At 44.3% G+C, this 23,241-nt stretch overlaps 1 protein-coding gene across 19 annotated transcripts in view, besides 1 other annotated feature; it reads left to right on the top strand.

The window, feature by feature from the left end:
- TUBGCP5 (tubulin gamma complex component 5) overlaps window positions 1–23,241 on the top strand; it is a 56,545-nt gene that overhangs the window by 25,504 nt on the left and 7,800 nt on the right. For 8 of the 19 annotated variants that reach the window (NM_001354374.2, NM_001354373.2, NM_001354372.2 and 5 more), the window contains 9 exons: window positions 2,735–2,933; window positions 3,933–4,121; window positions 5,185–5,367; window positions 7,714–7,798; window positions 7,894–8,014; window positions 8,456–8,634; window positions 9,839–9,964; window positions 10,913–11,001; window positions 13,397–13,497. In NM_001354374.2, the coding sequence (NP_001341303.1) occupies window positions 2,735–2,933; window positions 3,933–4,121; window positions 5,185–5,367; window positions 7,714–7,798; window positions 7,894–8,014; window positions 8,456–8,634; window positions 9,839–9,964; window positions 10,913–11,001; window positions 13,397–13,497 (1,272 nt within the window). Of the gene's footprint in view, window positions 1–2,734; window positions 2,934–3,932; window positions 4,122–5,184; window positions 5,368–7,713; window positions 7,799–7,893; window positions 8,015–8,455; window positions 8,635–9,838; window positions 9,965–10,912; window positions 11,002–13,396; window positions 13,783–14,199; window positions 14,890–18,825; window positions 18,968–21,683; window positions 22,390–23,241 lie in introns of those variants that run through there. The other 11 variants (NM_052903.6, NM_001354377.2, XM_047432131.1 and 8 more) reach the window with 5 other exon arrangements.
- Window positions 93–1,003: an enhancer, noted in NCBI's record as "H3K4me1 hESC enhancer chr15:22859095-22860005 (GRCh37/hg19 assembly coordinates)". NCBI's record gives its function as "activates a minimal SCP1, AML or CMV promoter by ChIP-STARR-seq in primed H9 embryonic stem cells {active_cell/tissue: H9 hESC(primed)}" and the evidence as "EXISTENCE:reporter gene assay evidence [ECO:0000049][PMID:30033119]".

The raw sequence follows: 23,241 nt of genomic DNA, 5'->3' as shown, positions 1-23,241 counted from the left end.
GTCTGTTGGGGCTGCCAGACTGTTCCTCTGTCTGAAAGTGCAGTGGCAGGGGCTGGTTTTTCTGCTGTGCAGGACCAGAATCACCAGTCGATCCTGGGCCCAGGCTCCACATAGCTGGGGTTGTGGTGTTCAGCCATCCCTGTGGCCTTGGTGGAATGAGGATGGAGCCCCAGTGGCTGGGGTGCAGGAGAGGTGCAGCAGCTACTGGCCCAGAGGAGGGCGTGCTCCAGAGGTGGCTCTGGTCTGAAGATGGTGCCATGCTGCAACAGCTTGGCTCAAAGGGGTGGGTGGGGAAGGCACACCTTGTGCCCCTAACCCGGGGCAAGGCAGCTGCGTGAATTCCCAGCAGCTCTCCAAACTGGGCTCAGAGCTCGTGGGAACTGTGGAATCCTCCTGTAGTAATGACTGTAGGTGTTTGTGGGGGCTGGTGGGTTTCTTCTGCTTACCCTTACCCTACAATGGGAAGTCCTTCTTGACTCCAGACCAGCCTGTTCTGCGAAGCTGCAGAGGCTGGAAGCCTCCACACTGCCCTCCTGGGCCTCCAGTCACCAACACTGTGTCACATTCCCCCTCTGCACTCCAGCACTCGCCCTTCAACTCCAGTCGGATCTTTTTTTTTTGAGACGGAGTCTTTCCCTGTCGCCCAGGCTGGAGTGCAGCGGCGCGATCTCGGCTCACTGCGAACTTCGCCTCCTGGGTTCTCTCCTGCCTCAGCCTCCCCAGCAGCTGGGACTACAGGCGCACACCACCGTGCCCGGCTAATTTTTTTGTATTTTTAGTAGAGACGGGGTTTTACCATACTAGCCAGTATGGTCTCGATCCCCTGACCTCATGATCCGCCCGCCTCGGCCTCCTGAAGTGTTGGGATTACAGGTGTGAGTCACCACCCCCAGCCTCCAGTCGGATCTTAACTGTTGATTCGTTGCTTTGGTCCTCTCTTGCTGTTGGGAGAGGAACACCAGACGTCTCCAGGCAGCCACCTTGCTGGCGACTGGAGTGCAGTGGCATGATCTCGGCTCACTGCAACTTCTGCCTCACAGGTTCAAGTGATTTCTCATGCCTCAGCTTCCCAAGTAGCTGGGACTATAGATGTGAGCCACTACGCCCGGCTAATTTTTTGTGTTTTTAGTAGAGATGGGGTTTCACCATGTTGGCCAAGCTGGTCTTGAACTCCTGACCTCAGCTGATCCACCCGCCTCTTAAAGTGCTGGGATTACAAGCGTGAGCCACCACAACCAGCCCTTCTGGCATTTCTTAATGCAATGCAGCGTTTAGCCCTTGAGGGCCGTGAACCATGGCTGATAAGAATTTCTTATGAGCAGTTCAGACTCGATCATAAATTTCAAGAAAATGATGCAATTTAATATATTCAAAGTTTTATGCTGTAATCCCAGCACTTTGGGAGGCTGAGGCAGGCAGATCACGAGGTCAGGAGATCGATACCATCCTGGTCAACGTGGTAAAACCCCATCTCTACTAAAAATACAAAAATTAGCTGGGCATGATGGCATGGGCCTGTAATTCCCCACTACTCAGGAGGCTGAGGCAAGATAATCGCTTCAACCAGGGAGTCAGAGATTGCAGTGAGCCGAGATCATGCCACTGCACTCCAGCCTGGTGACAGAGTGAGACTCCATGTCAAAAAAAAAAGTTTTATCAACTGACTAAAAAGGCTTGGAAGATAAAGATGTGACCTTATTTATACATCTCAATCATCTCAATGTTATGTTAATTATATTATTGTATCTACTTGAAATAAGTAGATGCAATACTTATTTTCACTTTGTGGAATATTTCCTTCTTATGTAGTGAGCTTCCCAGGGCCACTGTCAGAAGTGTTTTTTCCAATGAGACTGCGACTCCTATCAGGGTTACCATAGTGTTATGCAGTATTGTAATAAATTTCAAGTGTGCTGATTAGGATCTTACTCTTTTTTTTTTTTTTTTTTTGAGTCAGGTTTCACTCCTATTGCCCAAACTGGACTGGAGTGCAGTGGCGTGATCTCAGCGCATTGCAACCTTCACCTGCCAGTGCTCACGCAGTTCTCGTGCCTCAGCCTCCCAAGTAGCTTGGGACCACAGGCACATTCCACTGCACTCAGCTAATTTTTTTGTAGAGCTGAGGTTTCACCATGTTGCCCAGGCTGGTCTCAAACTCCTGAGCTTAAGTGATCCACCCGCCTCAGCCTCCCAAAGTGCTGGGATTACAGGCATGAGCCACTGCACCCGGACATGATATTATTTAATATTTCTTGGGCCAGGCACAGTGGCTCACGCCTGTAATCCCAGCACTTTGGGAGGCTGAGGCGGGTGGATCACTTAAGCTCAGGAGTTTGAGACCAGCCTGACCAACATGGTGAAACCCCGTCTGTACTAAAAAACAAATATATAAAATTAGCCGGGCGTGGTGGCACATGCCTGTAATCCCAGCTACTTGGGAGGCTGAGGCAGGAGAATTGTTTGAACCCGGGAGGCGGAGGTTGCAGTGAGCCAAGATGGCGCCATTGCGCTCCAGCCTGGGCAACAAGAGCAAAACTCCATCTCAAAAAATATATATTATTTTGTTACTATATATAAATATATATATTTAATATTTACATATATTTAATATTTATATATAAATATATAGATTTTGTTACTTAATATATTGTTAATGTTAATATGATTAAACAGAATGTTACTTAATATGATTAAACAGAACTTAGTTCACCTTACATATTTCTTTATGTTTCAGATGCAGAAAGAAAAAGTTTATACACTCTCTTTCTGGAATCTGTACAGTCCCGTCTTCGACATGGAGAAGATTCCACTCCACAGGTTCTTACTGAGCAACAGGCAACCAAGGAGAACCTGATGAAGATGCAGTCCATTGCTGAAAGCCATCTTGAACTGGATGATGTTCATGATCCACTGCTTGCCATTAACTTTGCAAGGTGAGACACACCTGCAAGGTTATCAGTAATTGAAATGGCATCATTTGTGCAATGTTTGCTAACTGTTTATTTCTGGCAGGTAGGGCTAAAAACAAAAACTCTTGTAGGCTATCCTTTCTTTTTTCTTTTTCCTTTTTTTTTTTTGTTTGTTTGAGATGGAGCCTCAGTCTGTCACCCAGGCTGGAGTGTAGTGGTGTGATCTTGGCTGACTGCTGCAACCTCTGCCTCCCAGGTTAAGCAATTTTCCTACCTCAGCCTCCCAGCTACCTGGGACTAGAGGCATGTGCCACCATGCCCCGCTAATTTTTGTATTTTTTGTAGAGACGGGGTTTCCTCCTGTTGGCCAGGCTTGCCTCGAACTCCTGACCTCAGGTGATCTGCCCACCTCGGCCTCCCAAAGTGCTGGGATTACAGGTGTGAGCCACCATGCCATGCCTATCCTTTATAACAAGCAGAATACAAGATGTTGTGCTCACCTACTTCAGGTGTATAGTTTGGATTCCATGTCGTTTGTGGAAGTCTGCAGACTTGGCCCTGCCACCATGTGGTACAACTTTTGTCTGTGCCCTCGGGCCCCTGGAAATGTCATCATTTACCCAGAAGATGCTGAAACTCTGGGCCATGAGTGGGCCCTGGACACCCATTGAGTCAGGGTCCCCACTGGCATATAATATGTCCTGGGCTTAAGCTGCTTTTAGGCACTTAGTCCATTAGAGTAAGTCATTAATACCCACACAGTTCCCGGTTGTCTAATGGCCAGCATTTGCTGTGTCCAGCCCTAATCACTAGAAAGACCAGCTCTAGTACCTGACCCTAAGTCAGTGGCAACTTCAAGAGACTGGTTCACTCAAAGGATATTTTTGGGAGAAAGATTTTTCTCTTTCTGTAATAGTTGGTAACTTCAAGACTAAAGGTAAAAATGGAACTTCAGGGTTTTGATTTAAGAGAGTTCTGTTGACAGCAGCTCATAAAAAGAAGACTCACATTTTTATCTTGAAGGATGTATTTGGAGCAGAGTGACTTTCACGAGAAGTTTGCTGGTGGTGATGTATGTGTGGATAGATCATCGGAATCTGTGACATGCCAGACTTTTGAATTAACGCTGAGATCCTGCCTCTATCCTCATATTGACAAGCAGTATCTAGATTGCTGTGGAAATCTCATGCAAACTCTAAAAAAAGATTACAGGTAAAAGAGTAATTTAATTTTGGAAGTAGTAAATAGTTGATTGTACTTGAAGAACAGTTGAGATTATTTTAAAACCTATTTCAATTTTTATTAGAGTAGGAAATGGATATACAGTAAACAATTTTCTAAGAGAAATCAATTGACCATCAATATTTTCTTAACTATGTTTTGAAACTTAATTCTTTATTTCTGAGAATCTTTCCCAAAAGAAATACAGAAAAAGCTTGTAGAAAAATTACAAAGTTTGTTATCAGAATGAAAAACACTAAATTACTTAGTGATAGATGACTAGTTTTTTAAACTATGCATATCCATAAATATGGCATATACATACCCACATATGAACTTTGTAAAGTTCATAAAAATTATGGCAATTAGGCCGAGCACGGTGGCTCACACCTGTAATCCCAGCACTTTGGGAGGCTGAGGTGGGAGGATCACGAGATCAGGAGATCGAGAGCATCCTGGCTAACACGGTGAAACCCCGTCTCTACTAAAAATACAAAAAATTCGCCGGGCGTGGTGCCGGGCGCCTGTAGTCCCAGTTACTCTGGAGGCTGGGGCAGGAGAATGGCGTGAACCCAGGAGGCAGAGCTTGCAGTGAGCTGAGATCGGGCCACTGCACTCCAGCCTGGGCGACAGAGCAAGACTCCATCTCAAAAAAAAAAAAATTATGGCAATTAAAAAGCAGGAGATATAATACGGTAGGAACTAGGTTTTCTTAACACATAGAAGAGAAGACAGGAAAGAAACATTCCAGATATTAAATATTAATGATGGAAATCCACCATAAATGATGGGATTTGGATTTTTTTTTGTTACATTTTTGTGACTGCCCAATTTTCTATAATGTTATAGAAGATAACCTTTCTGATGATGAAAGGAAAACCTATGCTGTTTTTATTATTGGAACAAGTTTAAGAGGTGTTAATATTTCTAATTTTAGTAAATGTAGAATGTAAACTTGTTCCACTAAAAACAGGTTACAAAACCTGTTGTTGATCCAGAATCCTGCCTTACGAATGCCAGAGATCTTAGTGTCACTCATTTTCTCTCCATTCAGGTTGGTAGAATACTTGCAAGCTATGAGGAATTTTTTCTTAATGGAAGGAGGAGATACCATGTATGACTTCTACACGTCAATTTTTGATAAAATAAGAGAAAAGGAAACATGGCAGAATGTGTCTTTTCTTAATGTCCAACTCCAAGAAGCAGTAGGACAGCGTTATCCTGAAGATAGTTCACGGTAAAATATGGACGCCACCTTTATTTAAATTAGTGTAACATGAACTATGTGCCAGTAAGTCTTCTATGAATTACACATATTATTTTATCCTCACTATTCCTATGAGTTTTACTAATATTATTTTACTTATTAGAAAATGGAGGCCAGGCACGGTGGCTCACACCTGTAATGCCAGCACTTTGGGAGGCAGAGGCGGTGGATCACCTGAGGTCAGGAGTTCGAGACCAGCCTGGCCAACATGGTGAAACTCTGTCTCTACTAAAAATACAAAAAGCATGGTGGCAGGCGCCTGTAATCCTGGCTATTTGGGAGGCTGAAGCAGGAGAATCGCTTGAACCTGGGAGGCAGAGGTTGCAGTGAGCCAAGATCATGCCACTGCACTCCAGCCTGGGCGACAAGAACGAGACTCCATTTAAAAAAAAAGAAAAAATTGAGGCAGAGGCTAGCTATGTGACTCTCCTGCTAAACAACAAAAGACGTTGAGATGCCACCATATGGCCAGATGCAGTGGCTCATGCCAGTAATCCTAGCACTTTGGGAGGCCAAGGTGGGAGGATTGCTTGAGCTTAGGAGTTTGCAACCAGCCTGGGCAACATAGTGGGACCTCGTCCCTATAAAAAAAGAAAAAAGTTGCCACCATACGACCTGTCAGGGTCTGATGGCCTCCTTCACATGGCTGGAGTCAGTGCTTCCTCTCCCTGAGCTCCCACACATGAGGTTTTTCAGTCCTGCCTCCTAGAGAATGCCCCTGACCTCTCAGAACTGGCTCAGAACTCCCCAATGACCTCTGTGTCTCTCAGCCTCACTCCCTTCCACCAAAACGGACTTGACCCTCACCAGGGTGACCTCAGACCACCAGCAGTGACTTCCACCACTCATCCCTATGCTCCCCGTGGGTGCCTCCTAAACAGATGGACTAAGCTTTGTCTTAGAAGGGAGAAAGCTATTTACTGTCTGGCTCCATTTTCCCAGCCTCATGTCTTGCACACATACACACCATGTTCTCTTTCCTGTCTTCCTTCGCGTTTCAGGGATTTCAGAATATTTCTGGTGTCTGCTAGTGCTGTCCTCCCGCCCCCCTGTGACATAGTCTCCAGTTCATGGGCCCGGCAGAGGTCTGCTCATTCCTACATCCCCCTTGTCTTCGTGTGCTGCACTGGGCTGGGAGTCCCTGGAGGGAAGAGAGATTGGCTTTCTATTGCCTGCTCAGTGCAGCACCTAACTTAGTATTAGTATTTGGTAGATGCCTACTAAGCACTGAGTGAATGCATACATATCAGGCCATTAAGAGCTAAAAATTCTTTTTTTTGAGACAGAGTCTTGCTCTGTCACCCAGGCTGGAGTGCAGTGGCACAATCTCGACTCACTGCAAGCTCCGCCTCCCGGGTTCATGCCATTTTCCTGCCTCAGCCTCCCGAGTTGCTGGGACTACAGGCGCCCAGCTAATTTTTTGTATTTTTATAGAGACGGGGTTTCACTGGGTTAGCCAGGATGGTCTCGATCTCCTGACCTCGTGATCCTCGAGGATGCCAAAGTGCTGGGATTACAGGTGTGAGCCACCGCACCCGGCAAAGAGCTAAAAATTCTGACTAGTGCCTGTGTCATGGATCAGCCAGTTCATAATCACACACTGCCCTGTGACATCTCTGATTTGGAAGTTAACTCCCCACTTTAAACCTTCTTCATATGCATCCAGGCATCCCCTCTTAGTGCCTCTGTGACTGTGGAAGAGGACATCATTTCTCAGGAACCACTGATGGGAGTATTTTGAGGATTAAATGAGCTAAGGACACATAATAGTGCCTGGCACTTGGACATTTTCATGTCCATGTTAGATGCTTGCTTTCCTCTGTGAGTCACATTCAAACCTGTCTCAGGAACTTGTGGATGAAGCACTGCACAGTGCCTCTGGTGTAGAAGCAGACCCCATCCCATCTCGATGGGGCTCTCGAAGCAGTACTCTCACCACATGCTCGGCTCCGTCGAGCTGCTCTGCTCGTCCTCTCCTGCCCACCCCCAACCTCAGCAGAGGCTTCATCTTCCCAGCCATTGCCTGAAGTTTACTGTCTTCCTCAGCTTCATCCTTTTTCTAATTACTACCATTGTTAAGTGTCTCTTTAACTAAACTCATTGTTTAAAAGTTTTCTCCCTCTCTGTTTCTAAATCCAAATTTCTGCTCTGGAATATATGTTAGAAGAGATACATTTGTTGGAATGTTTGCATTTCTTTTATGAAATGCAGTATCTTTTGGGGAATATTATGTAAATGAAATACCAATTATTTTAAAAGAGCATTTTTGTGTGACATAGTGCTTTCACAAACTAAAACTGGAATTTCTTTCTTTAGTCTATCTATATCTTTTGAAAATGTTGACACAGCTAAGAAGAAGCTGCCTGTTCATATCTTAGATGGTCTGACCCTCAGCTACAAGGTATATGCTGATATTCCTTGTATGAACCGTGTTTTCTGCTAACATTAAAACATGCAAGTAATTGGTTACTTTCTAATTTTGTTTTTGTTTCATAGGTCCCATGGCCCGTGGACATTGTTATAAGTTTGGAATGTCAAAAAATTTATAATCAAGTGTTTCTTCTCTTATTGCAAATAAAGTGGGCAAAATATAGTCTGGATGTTTTACTTTTTGGTGGTAAGATTTGTTTTCAGCAGATAAATTGTAATTTTATTTAATTTTAGCCCTTAATAAAAGAGGTTAATGGGAAAGGGAAGCATACGGGGATCTGGAAAAAAAAAAAAAGTTGGTGGTTGTTGATCATTTTTTATGTGTACACAAATGCCAAAATGGTGCGTATTCTAGCAGTAGTTTTATGGACATCAAATGCCTGAAAGAAAGATCAGGAAGTTGTATGTACAGTTGATCTGAAATGCAACAACTTGATTAGGAAAAGTGATACAGGAAACTTTTCCCACTGCACCTTCCAGAGGCACTGAGGTTCGGTTCCTGCCACCCCTGCCAGTGCTTTCTGTGGTGCCAGGACCACATCCGTCAGTGTTTCTGCCAGGCGTCATGGTGCAGTGGGGTTTGAGTTGATGCTCTTTCTGTCCACTTTGCTCTTCCAATGTTTTATAGAACTGGTTAGTACTGCAGAAAAACCACGACTTAAAGAAGGCCTTATACATGAACAAGACACAGTTGCTCAGTTCGGACCACAAAAAGAACCAGTAAGACAGCAGATTCATCGCATGTTCCTCTTAAGAGTGAAGCTCATGCATTTCGTGAACAGCTTGCACAACTACATCATGACCAGGGTTTGTGCCTCTCCCATCTGCTTCAGTTCTATCGTCGTATCTATACAGTTGTTCGTAGAGAATTACTCATACTATGTTTATAAGTAAAAAATACCTACAGACTGTGAAAACGGGACATGTAGCAAATTTGATCATAAAATAACATGGCAGTGGGAGGAATGTTTTTGTAAATATACCGGAATATGTGTATCCAGAGGCTGTTGTCCCTCCAGTCCAGCAGCCCCTGGGGACAGGCACAGCCACAGCTCGTCTTCTGGAATTGCCTTCAGAATGTGCCGCATAGTCCTTTAGGTTTCAATAGTGGTGACAGCTGTCCCTAAAAAATGGCTCCAATGTTTAATAACAGCCAAAATCCACTACGGTGTGTGGGAGGAAGATGCAGCCAGGTTATAGACTTTTTTCTTAAAAACAAGAACTCACTACAAAGTAAATGAAATTATTTTTCTGATACATCTAAAAGCCAGTTCTAGGGGAAGTTCTAAAAGAAGCGTTCAGAAATTGGAACAAGAGCAGTATTATTAGAGGACAGTATGCATTTGGGGTTTGAATTGTTGTTTAGACCTGTTTATACCTGGTCTGTGAGTTCTGAAACCCAACTTGCTTGGGTGAAGTGAGCCACTGAAGCCTGTGTTTTGGATGGGAAGGCTATGGCAGAGGGGCTCCACGTTTCCCCTGACTGCATTACTGCCTTCACAAGGTTGGCCTTCATTAAGCCCCTAATTGTTAAGAGTAAATGATAAGAGTTTAAGTTTTTTCTTAGTTTGTTTTTTATTTGAGGTATACTTATACTCATTTTAGAGAAAGATCAATGTATGAGAAAAGGAACTTAAGAAACATAAATTCACTGTAATTATTTGTATAAAAGTAACACATTTACTTGATTTTTTTTTTATCGATGTGTCTTATATACAGCTTAATGTGCTTGCCCCTTCCTGCCAGGAAGTCTGTTAGTCCAGAGTTTGGCGTTCATTCATTCACTGTGCAAGTGGGCGTCCTACAGGATTGCCCCCGCCGTCCTCTTAGGATCAGAACGCCAGAGTATCCAGCCAGCCTTTGAAGAATGGTACTTTATGAAACTGTCTAGATGTGCTTATTGAAGGAAGAATTTGAGAGGAGTAGAAGAGCTTAGTAAAAAAGATTTGTGTGCAGCACACAAGTCCTCAAAGAAGGCTGCTGATGAAGCTTTTTATCTTTCTCTTCCAAGATTCTACACAGTACAGGGCTGGAGTTTCAACATCAAGTCGAGGAAGCCAAGGATTTAGATCAATTGATTAAAATTCACTATAGGTATCTGTCAACCATCCATGACCGGTGTCTGCTGAGAGAAAAGGTACATGAGATGTCTCCTGCAGATGTGGCCACTGCTGGGCGAGTGGCGCTGTCTGCGTGCTTTGGAATTTTATGATGATTAAGCTTCTGTCCTGTAGAATATTCTTTAAGGAAGAACCAGATGAAATGAGGTTACAAACAAATGCCCCAGGCCGGCCACAATGGCTCATGCCTGTAATCCCAGCACATTGGGAAACTGAGGCAGGCAGATCTTATGAGGCCAAGAGTTCAAGACCACCCTGGGCAACATAGCAAGACTCTGTCTTTACAAAAAGTTAAAAAGATTAGCAGACATGGTGGTGCATACCTGGAGGCCCAGCTACTTGGGAGGCTGAGGTGGGAGCATTGTTTGAGGCCAGGAGTTTGAGGCTGCAGTGAACTATGATCTGACACCACTGCACTCCACTCCAGCTTGGGTAACAGAGCAAGACCTTGTCTCTTAAAAAAAAAAAAAAAAAAAAAAAAAAAAACAGAAGGAGGAGTGCCCTATTCGTAGAAATTGTATCTAAGAGCAACATGAGAACTATGTGTGATAGTCAACACTCACTCTGCGTTACTCTTGGATTCATTTGGAAAATTGTGTCTGCAGTTGCGGAGCAATAGCATGTCCACTTCATGTGAATAGATAGAATTCAGTAATGTTAAAACCATTGCAATTATTTGTCCTAGTTTCATTGGTGAATTTAAATGGCCATCCCAGGAAAAGGTCTTAATAGTTTGTTTTGTTGGTTTGACTGTACTGCTAATATCACTTGTATCTTACATTCAGTGAATGCATGTGCCTGGTCCCAAATGGGCATGGTTCAGAGCCTAGTACCCTTCCATATACACAGAAGGCAGTCACTGTGGTGATGAACTTTTTCTGTGATTCATTTAAAATAGGTAAAAGTGTTGGTATCAGTGTCCAAACCTAGTTACACAGTTTGTGTTCTGTGACTTTGGTCTGCAGGTCAGCTTTGTGAAAGAAGCTATCATGAAGGTGTTGAACTTGGCTCTCATGTTTGCAGACGGTTGGCAGGCAGGCCTGGGCACTTGGCGGTAAGTATGTGATTTCTGCAGCATCTGCACTGTGACCATTTCAGCTTCAGCTTCCCTTTTTTTTAGAGACAGGGTCTTCCCAGCCATTCAGGAGGCTGAGAGGAGAGGATTGCTTGACCCCAGGAGTTCAAGACTAGCCTGGGCAACATAGCAAAACCCAGTCTTTAAAAAAAAAAAAAAGTGCAAGTATTTTTTGAGAAGTAAAACATTTTTAAAAATCTGAGGTCTTCTGATTTAAACAAGCAAACATTTTTAGATTATACTCATGTTATATTGTGTACGTTTTGTTAAATTTTTATCATGGACACCTTCAAACTGAAGTGGCAAAGACAGTGTTGTGAACACCGTGATGGCACCTGCTTCAGCTGTGCCAGTGAGGACAGCTCTGTCATGTCTGTGCCCACCTCCCCAGTCACACTTGCTGAATTATTTTAAATCAAATTCTGGACATCATGCTAGACTATTCTCCAAAGTTGTATTTTGGATGAGCTCTAAAAGATGCTGTGTTTTGAGAGTGTTTGTTATTCACACACATCACATAGGCAAGTGCACTGAATCAGGGGAAGTGGCCCGGGAGCAGCTCCCTCTAGCACTGCCATCCTCTACTGTTAACTCCAGTGTACAGCTCAATATTTTGTTACCTGTCCTGTTTATAAAGTCAGTGCAACAGTAATTCTGCTGTTACTTCCATGAAATAAAAGTGCATGTTTGGTTGACTGTACTTACTCCATGTCAGTAAGGAAGTAAGAATTCATTTGAGTGCTAGTATAATTCGAAATCTCCCATTGGCTGTACTCGGAATCAAGAAACTAAGGTAGTAGATGAAGCCATAGCTGCAGGGATGGAAATAGAAGTCTTCCTCGCTTTATATTGCTGGCTCAAAGTGTGCAAAATATATTTTGCTTTTTTTTTTTCTTTTTTTTTTGTCTCACTTTGGGGTGGAGGAGAAATAACACTGCTGCATATGCTTTGCTGAAATTCAACTCTTTCAGGTTTTTTTTACAAATAAATGTGAGAAAAATACAGGGGGTGAGGAACTTAAGAAGTCTATCAACCATCGCAGTTTATGGATAAGTTAATTGTTCCTGATTGAGACTTAAAGCCGAAAAGTGAAAAATTGTAGAAGCAATGTGAAATTTGCTTGAATGCTATTAGATGATATTTTTGAGCAAATGGTGTTGTGGCTGTGTTTTGAAAGGAGTCTTTATCTTTAAAGTATACATTTATACTTATGAAATATTCATGACTGTGGTGCTCTGATGTCTCCTGTTTGCTTCTGAATATTGTGGTGGGGCTGTGGAGGTGTAAGCTTGGCATGTGGCACCTGCCATGGCTGGGCAGTGGGCCATGGAAACCCCTTCTGAAGTTCTCTCTTACAAAGTGTTTGATATTTCTTTAAAAAAAAAAAAAAGAAAGAAAGAAAGCCGAGCACAGTGGCTTACGCCTGTAATCCCAGTGCTTTGAGAGGCTGAGGTGGGCGGATCTCCTGAGGTCAGGAGTTCGAGACCAGCCTGACCAACATGGAGAAACTCCATCTCTACTAAAAATACAAAATTAGCCAGGCGTGGTGGTGCATGCCTGTAATCCCAGCTACTTGGGAGGCTGAGGCAGGAGAATTGCTGAACCCAGGAGGCAGAGGTTGTGGTGTGGTGAGCCGAGATCGCTACATTGCACTCCAGCCTGGGCAACAAGAGCGAAACTCTGTCTAAAAAAAAAAAAGGCAGCCAGGCTCCATGGCTCACAACTGCAATCCCAGCACTTTGGGAGGCCAGTGGGGGCAGATCAGCTGAGGTCAGGAGTTCGAGACCAGCCTGACCAACATGGCGAAACCCCATCTCTACAAAAAATACAAAAATTAGCCAGACATGGTGGTGGGCATCTGTAATCCCAGCTACTCAGGAGGCTGAGGCAGGAGAATCACTTGAACCCAGGAGGCGGAGGTTACAGTGAGCCGAGATCGTGCCACTGCTCTCCAGCATGGGCGACAGAGCAAGACTCCATCTCAAAAAGAAAAAAAACCTTTTTAAAAATAATTTCAGATTTTAAGTTTTATATCCTTAATGTGTTCTTTATTTCAAAGAGAATGTATGCTTGTAAACAATAAAAACAAGACTGTATAAAGGAAAAGGGAGTATCTTTGGTCCTCCTAGTTCCAGAACTAGATACTATCTGGAAACAGCACAGTTTTATATCCTAATGAAACTTCCTTTGAAACACTTTGACATTTTTTATTTTAAAGTAGGGTAGGACGTTATGTGTTTTATTTTATAATCTTTAGATTTAGGATTTTAAATAATTAAACCAAAATACATTTGAAATTACTCCACAGATATCTTGAAGCCTACCTATATACCCGCAATGCACTTACTTAATTGAAATTTACTTTTATTCCTAGAATGGAATCTATAGAGAAAATGGAATCTGATTTTAAAAACTGCCATATGTTTCTTGTAACCATTTTAAACAAAGCCGTCTGTAGAGGATCCTTTCCCCATTGTGAGTATATCATGTTAAAATATTTCTACCTCTGTATTTCCTTGTAACTAAGTGTATGTGTCATTGTTTTGTTACTGATCCCATGAAGAATTAGAAATTCTCACCATTTTCAAAACTGAAAAGTCCCTTAGCAGTTGTCCCATGCTTTGAATTGCTTTTTAAGCATTACGGTGAGGTGAGTGTAAGCCTGAGGATCTTACTTTCTGGTATACCATTTATTACAACAGATTTCTAAAACTCCTATTAAATAAAGTTGATGGCAGAATAGATTTCTGTCACACTTCACTATCGTGTAGTTTTTGTAACTATTTCTTTTCAAAATCTAGTCTTTTTAAAAATTTTTTTAGGAATTTAAAGCTCCTGGCCTGGCGCGGTGGCTCATGCCTCTAATCCCAGCCCTTTGGGAGGTTGAGTGAATCACTTAAGGTCAGGAGTTGGAAGACCAGCCTGGCCTACATGGCAAAACCCTGTCTCTGCTAAAAATACAAAAATGAGCTAGGCATGGTGGCACATGCCTGAAATCCCAGCTACACAGCAGGCTGAGGCAGGAAAATTGCTTGAACCCGGGAGGCAGAGGTTGCAGTGAGCTGAGATTGTACCATTGCACTCCAGCCTGGGTGACAGTGGGACTCCGTCTTCAAAAAAAATTTTTTTTCAACATTTAAACCTATTGTTTTAACCTTATTTTTATTCTTCCCACAGTGGAATCTCTAGCGTTGTCACTCATGGCTGGCATGGAACAAAGTTAAATGTCTTCAGCGTAATAAATATCTCCGACTTTGTCATCATACATGTACATTTCCACCATGTGCAGCTGAAAAGTGAAAATATTTTTATTTTGGTTTATTTGTAAAACTTGTCCACAGTCAGCCTGGCACAGTCGCTCATGCCTCTAATCCCAGCACGATGGGAGGCCAAGACAGGCAGATCACTTGAGCCCAGGAGTTTGAGGCCAGCCTGGGCAACATGGTGAAACCCGGTGTCTACCAAAAATACAAAATGTATCCAGACATGGTGGTGTGTACCTGTAGTCCCAGCTACTCAGGAGGCAAAGATGGGAGGATTACTTGAGCCCAGGAGGTCAAGGCTACAGTGAGCCATGATTGCACTACTGCAGTGCAACCTGGGTGACAGAGTGAGACCCTGACTCAGAAAGAACCACTTGCCCACAGTCCAGACAGATGGATTGTAGGTGGGTTTTCTGGAGATTAGTAGATACTGTATAGAGTTGTATACATAAAATTGTGTCAGTAGTACAAAGTGTATATAGGCTGTTTACTCTTACATTTCCTACTGTAAGATACAGATTTATGGTACTGATACCTTTAAATTATATCATATTTTGAAAATGTAATTACTGATATTCAAAATAAATTAAAGGACTTAAAATCATTTTATTATCCTTTTGCTGCTGTCCTACAGTCACAGAAGCTTTTTATATAGAGTTTTACATGTTGTCTTCCCTAAAAGTTGTCTTAGATGTAGCTGTCCTAGAAATGTTTATATTTTGGCTGGGTGTAGTTTCTCAAGCTTGTAATCCTGGCACTTTGAAAGACTGAGGTGAGAGGATTCCTTGAGGCCAGCAGTTTAAGACCTGCCTAGGCAACATATGAGACCCCATCTCTCCAAAAACAACTTAAAAATTAGCCAAGGGCTGGGCACGGTGGCTCACCCCTGTAATCCCAGCACTTTGGGAGGCCGAGGTGGGCGGATCATCTGAGGTCAGGAGTTCAAGACCAGCCTGGCCAATGTGGTGAAACCCCGTCTCTACTAAAAATACAAAAAAATTAGCCAGGTGTGGTGGCCCACATCTGTAATCCCAGCTACTTGGGAGGCTGAGGCAGGAGAATCACTTGAACCCAGGAGGCAGAGGTTGCGGTGAGCCTAGATTGTACCACTGCACTCCATCCTGGGTGACAGAGCAAGACTCCGAAAAAAAAAAATTAGCCAAGCATGGTGGCACATGCCTGTGGTCCCAGCTACTTGGGAGGCTGAGGTGGGAGGATCGATTGAGACCGGGAGGTCAAGGCTGCAGTGAACCATGATTGCATCACTGCACTCCAGCCTGGACAACAGAGCAAGACCTTGTCTCCAACAAAAAAAAAGAAAGAAAGAAATGTATATATGTTTTGTTGTGCCTGAGAAGTTCTACATGGAAAATAGCTTCAACTGATAGCGATAAATGTAAAAGGCCAACTTCACTTAGGGCCAACTGTTGGTACATACTATTGTTTGGTATTTCCTTGTTTTTTGAAATGTGGAGGCTCACTCTGTTACCTAGGCTGCAGTGCAGTAGCACGATCTCGGCTCACTACAACCTCTGCCTCCTGGATTCAAGTGATTCTCCTGCCTCAGCCTCCCGAGTAGCTGGGATCTCAGGCGTGCACCACCACGCCCAGCTAATTTTTGTATTTTTAGTAGAGACAGGGTTTCACCTTGTTGGCCAGACTGGTGTCGAACTCCTGGCCTCAGGTGATCCACCCGCCTTAGCCTCCCAAAGTGCTGGGATTACAGGCGTGAGCCACTGTGCCTGGCAATATTTCTGAGCAATTTTTGTGAGCTAACCAGTTATATTTTGAATAGAATTATGCTTACTATTAAATTTTTCCATATTTTCTTTTTATAGAGTGAGACTATCTTTAAAAAAAAAAAAGGCCACACATAGTGACTCATGCCTGCAATCCCAGCACTTTGGGAAGCCAAGGTGGGTGGATCATGAGGTCAGGAGTTCGAGACCAGCCTGACCAATGTGGTGAAACCTTGTCTCTACTAAAAATACAAAAATTAGCTGGGCGTGGTGGCACACACCTGTAATCCTAGCTACTCAGGAGGCTGAGGCCAGAGAATTGCTTGAACCTGGGTGGCCGGAGGTTGCAGTGAGCTGAGATCATGCCACTGCACTCCAGCCTGGGCGACAGAGCGAGACTCTGTCTCAGAAAAAAATAAGAAAAAGAAAAAAAATATGAAAGCTAGAACTGGAAACAACAAAATGTGGAAGTTAGGACTAGAAAGCTTCTAGAAGCAAACATGGGAAATTAACACTACAAACTTGGGGTAGACAAAGATTTCTTACATAAAATCAAAAAAGGGGCCGAGCACGGTGGCTCATGCCTGCAGTCCCAGCACTTTGGGAGGTCAAGGTGGGTGGATCACCTGAGGTCAAGAGTTCCAGACCAGCCTGACCAATATGGGGAAACCCCGTCTCTACTAAAAATACAAAAATCAGCCGGGCGTGGTGGCGCACACCTGTAGTCCCAGCTACTCAGGAGGCTGAGACAGGAGAATCGCTTGAACCTGGGAGGCAGAGGTTGCAGTGAGCCGAGATCACACCACTGCACTCCAGCCTGGGTGACAGAGCAAGACTCCGTCTCAAAAGGAAAAAAAAAAAGGAATTATTGGTGAATTGGACATCACCAAAAAACATTGCTAGGAAAATGGTAATACAGGCCACAGACTGGGAGAGAACATTTCCCCTTAGCCCCTTTCAGGAACCATGTCATGCCCAGAGGCAACCACTGTTGCCCAGGGTGTCCAGAAGTAACTATGTTCAGAGTGTATGAAGGCATTTTAAATTAGTAAGACAAGCTTTTTTTTTTTTCATTGATGCAAGGTCTTGCTTTGTTGCCCATGCTGGAGCGCATTGGCACAGTCTTGGCTCACTGAAGCCTCAACCTCCGGGGAGCAAGCACTCCTCCCTCAGCCTCCTGAGTAGCTGAGACTACAGGTATGCACCACCATATGCGGCTAATCTTTTGTGTTTTTTTGGAAGAGTTGGGTTTTCAGCCAGGTGCAGTGGCTCATGCCTATAATCCCAGCACTTTGGAAGGCCTAGGCAGACCGATCACTTGAGGCCAGGAGTTTGAGACCCGCCTGGCCAACATGGTGAAACTCCATCTCTACTAAAAATACAAAAAATAGCTGGGTGTGGTGACAGACACCTGTAGTCCCACCTACTCTGGGAAGGCTGAGGCATGAGAATTGCTTAAACCTGGGAGTTGGAAGTGGCAGTGAGCCAAGATCACACCACAGCCCTTCGGCCTGGGTGACAGAGCAAGACTCTGATTCAAAAATTAAAGAAAATAAAAATTAAAAAGATGAAGTCTTAACTATGTTCCCCGGCTGATGTGAATTCCTGGGCCCAAGTAGTCCTCTGGCCTCAGCCTCCCAAAGTGCTGGGATTACAGGTGTGCGCCATTGCACCCAGCCCAAGACATTTTTTTTAATGAGCACAAAGAGGCAAGGAAGGCACAAAAATGGCCAATTAAACCGCACGAGCACCACAGCCTCTGGCATGGCTAAAATAAAAAGACCGGCATGTCAAATAATTTTCAAGGATTTAGAGCAACTGGAAATTACAAGATGGTACAAGCACTTGGGGAAACTATATGGCATTTTCTTACAAAGGTTAACATGTATCTACCCCTGAGAAGCAGCAGTTCACCCTTAGGTATTTATCCAAGAGGAATTTTTAAATGCGTCCACGCAGAGATTTGTATCTGAATATTCATAAGAGCTAAAAGCTAGAAACATCCTGATGACGGTGAAGAGGTAGATGGATCAACACTGAAGTATATGCACGCAGTGGAATGCAGTTCAGCTGTGAAAACACAGCTCATCCACATAACGACATAAGAGAATTCCAGGAACTTTATGTCGAAAAAAAAGCCAGACTTAAAAGGATCCGTTATTATTCCATTTACATGAAGTTAATGAACTGGTAAAACTAGTCTCCAGTGATAGAAATTGCAACAGTGGTTGCCTCTGGCCATGACATGTTACCTGAAAGGGGGTTGGGGGAAATTTCTGGGGGTGATGGGTGTGTTCTGTGTCTTCATTGGTCCCACAGGTACATGCATGTGACAAAACTCATTGAATTGTATCAAGTGTGGGGCTGGGTGTGGAGCAACTGGGAATTTCTTACATTACTGGTGGAAATGCAGATGGTACAGCCAATTTGGGTTTTTTTGGTTTTTGTTTTGTTTTTTTTTTTTTTTGAGACGGAGCCTTGCTTTGTCACCTAGGCTGGATTGCAGTGGTGCGATCTCACCTGGTGTGTGTTTGCAGATGACTTTCCTAGCAGCACATCCCAGGAGGTTTCTTAGGTTACACAATGTCTTTAAAGCTGCAGGTGGCTTTGGGCCAGGTGCCCTCCTATGGGGGACCACGAACAAGGTGGAGCCGGACACCAGTATGGTGCTTCCCAACAGAATCCAGGGGTCACTTCTGTTTTTATAATTGAATGAGTAAAACAGCATCTGAGTGATCTTTTAATTTGTATTTCTTTTATTTATTCTTTTATTTTTATTTTTATTTATTTATTTATTTTAGACAGATTCTCGCTCTGTCCCCCAGGCTGGAGTGCAATGGTGTGATCTCAGCTCACCTCAACCTCTGCCTCCCAGGTTCAAGTGATTCTCCTGCCTTAGTCTCCTGAGTGGCTGGGACCACAGACGCACACCATCATGCCCAGGTAATTTTTGTATTTTTAATAGAGATGGGGTCTCACCGTGTTAGCCAGGCTGTTCTTGAACTCCCGACCTCGAGTGATCCGTCCACCTGGGCCTCCCAAAGTGATGGGATTACAGGCATGAGCCACTGCCCCCGGCCTTATTTTTAAAATATAGATGGGGTCTCGCTATGTTGCCCAGGGTGGTCTCAAACTTTGGAGCTCAAGCACAATCCTGCACTGGCCTCCCAAAGTGCTGGGATTACAGGCGTGAGCCACCGTGCCCAGCCTTGGTACAGCCAATTTGGAAGAGTTTTTCAGTCTTTTACACTGTTAAACATATCTTTATTAAACATATTTTTACAATGTTAAACAACTTATCACCCAGCAATCCCACTCCTAGGTGTTTACCCAAGAGAAATGAAATGTATATTCACACAAAAACCTGTACACAAATGTTTATAGTGGCTTTACGAATAAGTGCCAAAAACTAGAAACAGTCCACATGACCATCAACTGGTGAATGAATAAACAGCTTCAATTTACCCAATGGAATACTGCACAGAAAGGAAAACATGACTTTGTAACAACTTGGATGAGTCTCAAACTGCTTGAGTTTTCTGAATGAAAAGACATCTTTACACTGAATCTAAGAGCTGTTCCTTTGCTCATGTGTGTGGAAAAGCTAAGGCCGTGCTGCACATCGCCCTATCCTATCTGTAAAATGGACTGGGACCAGGCACGGTGGCTCACGCCTGTAATCCCAGCATTTTGGGAGGCCAAGGCAGGCGGATTATTGGAGGTCACGAGTTCAAGACCAACCTGGCCAATATGGTGAAACCCCGTCTCTACTAAAAATACAAAACAATTAGCCAGGCGTGGTGGTGGGCACCTCTAATCCCAGCTACCTGGGAGGCTGAGGCAGGAGAATCTCTTGAACCCAGGAGGCAGAGTTGCAGTGAGCCGAGACTGCACCATTGCACTGCAGCCTGGGCAACAAGAGCAAAACTTCATCCTAAAAAAGAAGGGAAAAAAGACCCTATTGTTGGAGAGATTCTGTGAGACACACCCTTAATCTATTCACAGAGCCTTTAGTGTCACTAAAGGGTACTCTGAGGCAACATTTATTAATCTTTTTGACATCAGAAGCTCAGTGGCTCACACCTGTAATCCCAGCATTTTGGGAGGCCGAGGCAGGCGAATCGCTTGAGCCCAGGAGTTCAAGACTAGCCTGGCCAACGTGGTGAAACCGCATCTCTACAAAAAATACAAAAATTAGTCTGGGCACGGTGGCTCACGCCTGTAATCCCAACACTTTGGGAGGCCGAGGCAGGTGGATCATCTGAGGTCAGGAGTTCGAGACCAGCCTGGCCAACATGGTGAAACCCCATCTCTACTGAAAATACAAGAACTAGCTGGGCATGGTGGTGCATACCTGTAATCCCAGCTACTCAGGAGGCTGAGACAGGAGAACCGCTTGAACCCAGGAGGCGGAGGTTGCAGTGAGCCGAGATCGCACCATTACACTCCAGCCTGGGCGACAGAGCGAGACTCCGTCTCATATTAAAAAAAAAAAAAAAAAAAAAAAAAAAAAAAACTTCGGGGGCTGAGGTGGGAGGATTATTTGAGCCCAGGAGGTCGAGGGTCTAGTGAGCTTGATCGTGCCACTGCACTCCAGCCTGGGCGGCAGAGTAAGTTCATGTCTCAAAATAAAAAAGAGTTTCCAGCTGGGCGCGGTGGCTCACACCTGTAATCTCAGCACTTTGGGAGGCAGAGGCAGGCGAATCACGAGGTCAGGAGTTCGAGACCAGCCTGACCAACATGGTGAAACCCTGTCTCTACTAAAAATACAAAAGTTAGCCGGGCATGGTGGCGCATGCCTGTGATCCCAGCTACTTAGGAGGCTGAGGCAGGGGAATCGCTTGAAGCCGGGAGGTGGAGGTTGCAGTGAGCTGAGATCACACCGCTACACTCCAGCCTGGGCGACAGAGCGAGACTCAATCTCAAAAATAAAGAGTTTCCAATCACATCCTGAGCATCGTCTCTAGAGCACATTTTCTTGGCAGTGCCATATAGTTTATCCTTGCTCGATAGTCATTTTCTTATTTTAGCATCATTTGCCGTATGGGGAGGCTAAAACATTTCAAAACCATTAATTCTGTCTCCTTTTTTTTTTAAATCTTTCTCTCAGTTAATGCTCTCCTCTCACATTTTACTATACCCAGCAGGAAGAAACCAGGCAGCATCTTGAATACTTTGTTTGGAAAATCTCATTAGCTAGGTCACCCGTTTATTATGTATATTCTGTCCTATCCATGTAACGTCAGGTAACAGCAGGGCTAAACTTTCTGCTGCTACTTAGTGAAAGTCTTCCTTCAATTTCCAATAACAACATTCTTCTCACTTTCTTTTAAGCCCTCTTCAGCAATGTCCTCAAAGTCCAAAGTCTAAGAACAGTGTGTTCAAAGCACTTTAGTGTCATCAACACTCTCCTCAAACCCTGGTCCCAGAGCCATGCCCACCTGTTAGGTTTTGCTACAGCAGCATCCTCTCTCTGTACCAAAATCTGTATCAGTCCAAGAGCAGAGCCATTAATATACATGTGTGTGTGTGACACACATATACATACATATATATGTGTGTATATATATATTACCCATACACCCATACCTGTGGATAATCGTGGACTTGCTGCAGGGCTTTGCTCTTACACAGTTAATTGTGTAAACTGATTCGTCAGTTTCCATAGGGCTGCCTGTTGTCTGCATCCGACGCTGGAGCCTACTGTCCACAGGAGGTTTGGGAGGGACCTAAACCTGCGTCAGTTCTTGCTGCTTCTGGCCTTGGTGGTGTGGAGGTGCTGCAGAAGCTAGGGCCTCTCATCATGAAGATGAGCCAGATGCCTCCTTCGGGAGCCACAGGATCCAGAGAGTCAATGAAAGTAAAACTTCAGGACTGTCTGGATTTATTACGCCAGGGAGGAAGTTGAGCCCTGGAGACTGTCAGGTCGTACGACTGCAATTCTTCTCAGATTCACTCTCTTCCTCATTGTTCTTGTTCTGTAAATGACTAAGAGAGACCAGAGACCAGACCTCCCCACTTCCAATCACTGGTTTTGTTGTAGATGAACTGCCTCCTTTGCTGTCCGGTACCTAATGTGGACCAGACGGTGCTCAAGACCCTATCACTAGTACAACCTCAGTGTGGAATGTTAAATATGCCTTGCCTGGAAGAAAAAGACCAACTTGACTAATCAGATCATCATAACTATGCATGAAGTCTTCCACAGAAAGATGATGAAATTTTGTTACACTTCCCTAACCTTTGTCTAAATAAGCATTCCCAAACATCTACACTTTGGAACACTGACTTCTGTTCTTTGAGATGGGTGCTTCCCAGGTGGCCCATCCTCAAACTTTTTGCTTGAATAAACTCTCTAAACTAGATTCTGTTCCTTTTGATTATTTTAGGTTGACAAGAAGAAGGCAGTAGTGGCAGTCCTGGCCATGGTGGTGTTAACAGTGTAAGCTGTCAGACCCACAACACGTGTGAGCCACAACACAGTGGCAGCTCCCTGCCTCTCCCCAAGCCTCCGCCAGCGCCTCCCTCATGGTCTTGCAGAAACACAGGAAGAACTCTAGTAAACCTGGGTCAGCTTAGCCAGCTCCACATGCTGCAAAGCCACCACATCAATTCATGGCATCATTAAGTTAAGAAAGAGTAATTTGGCTGGGCATGGTGGCTCACACCTGTAATCCCAGCACTTTGGGAGGCCGAGGCAGGCGGATCACCTGAGGTCATGAGTTCGAGACCAGCCTGGCCAACATGGTGAAACCCCGTCTCTACTAATATAGAAAATTAGCCGGGTGTGGTGGTGTGCGCCTGTAATCCCAGCTACTCAAGAGGCTGAGGCAGTAGAATCACTTGAGCCTGGGAGGCAGAGGTTGCAGTGAGCTGACATCGCGCCACTGCACTCCAGCCTGGTGAGCGCGCGAGACTCCGTCTCAAAAAAAAAAAAAGTAATTTATTATAAGGAAGTCCTTATACTGTTGCCTGTGGCTGCTGTAACACATTACCATAAACCTGGTGGCTTAAAACAACAGATATTCATTCTCTTGAAGTTCTGGAGGACAGAAGGCCAAAATTCAAGGGAGCAATAGGGCCATGGCCGCGCCATTCTTTGCCTCCCCAGTTTCTGGGGGCTGCCAGCATTCTATGACTGTGGCTGTGTGGCTGCTTCACTCCCATCCCTGCCTCTGTGTTCACACTGCCTCTTTCTGGGTCTGTTCTCTGCGTGT

Source organism: Homo sapiens, chromosome 15, assembly GCF_000001405.40.
Source record: "Homo sapiens chromosome 15, GRCh38.p14 Primary Assembly".
In the NCBI taxonomy this organism is placed as follows: domain Eukaryota; kingdom Metazoa; phylum Chordata; class Mammalia; order Primates; family Hominidae; genus Homo; species Homo sapiens.
Note: the sequence above shows the minus strand (reverse complement) of the source record. Positions and strands in the feature narration are given on the sequence as shown.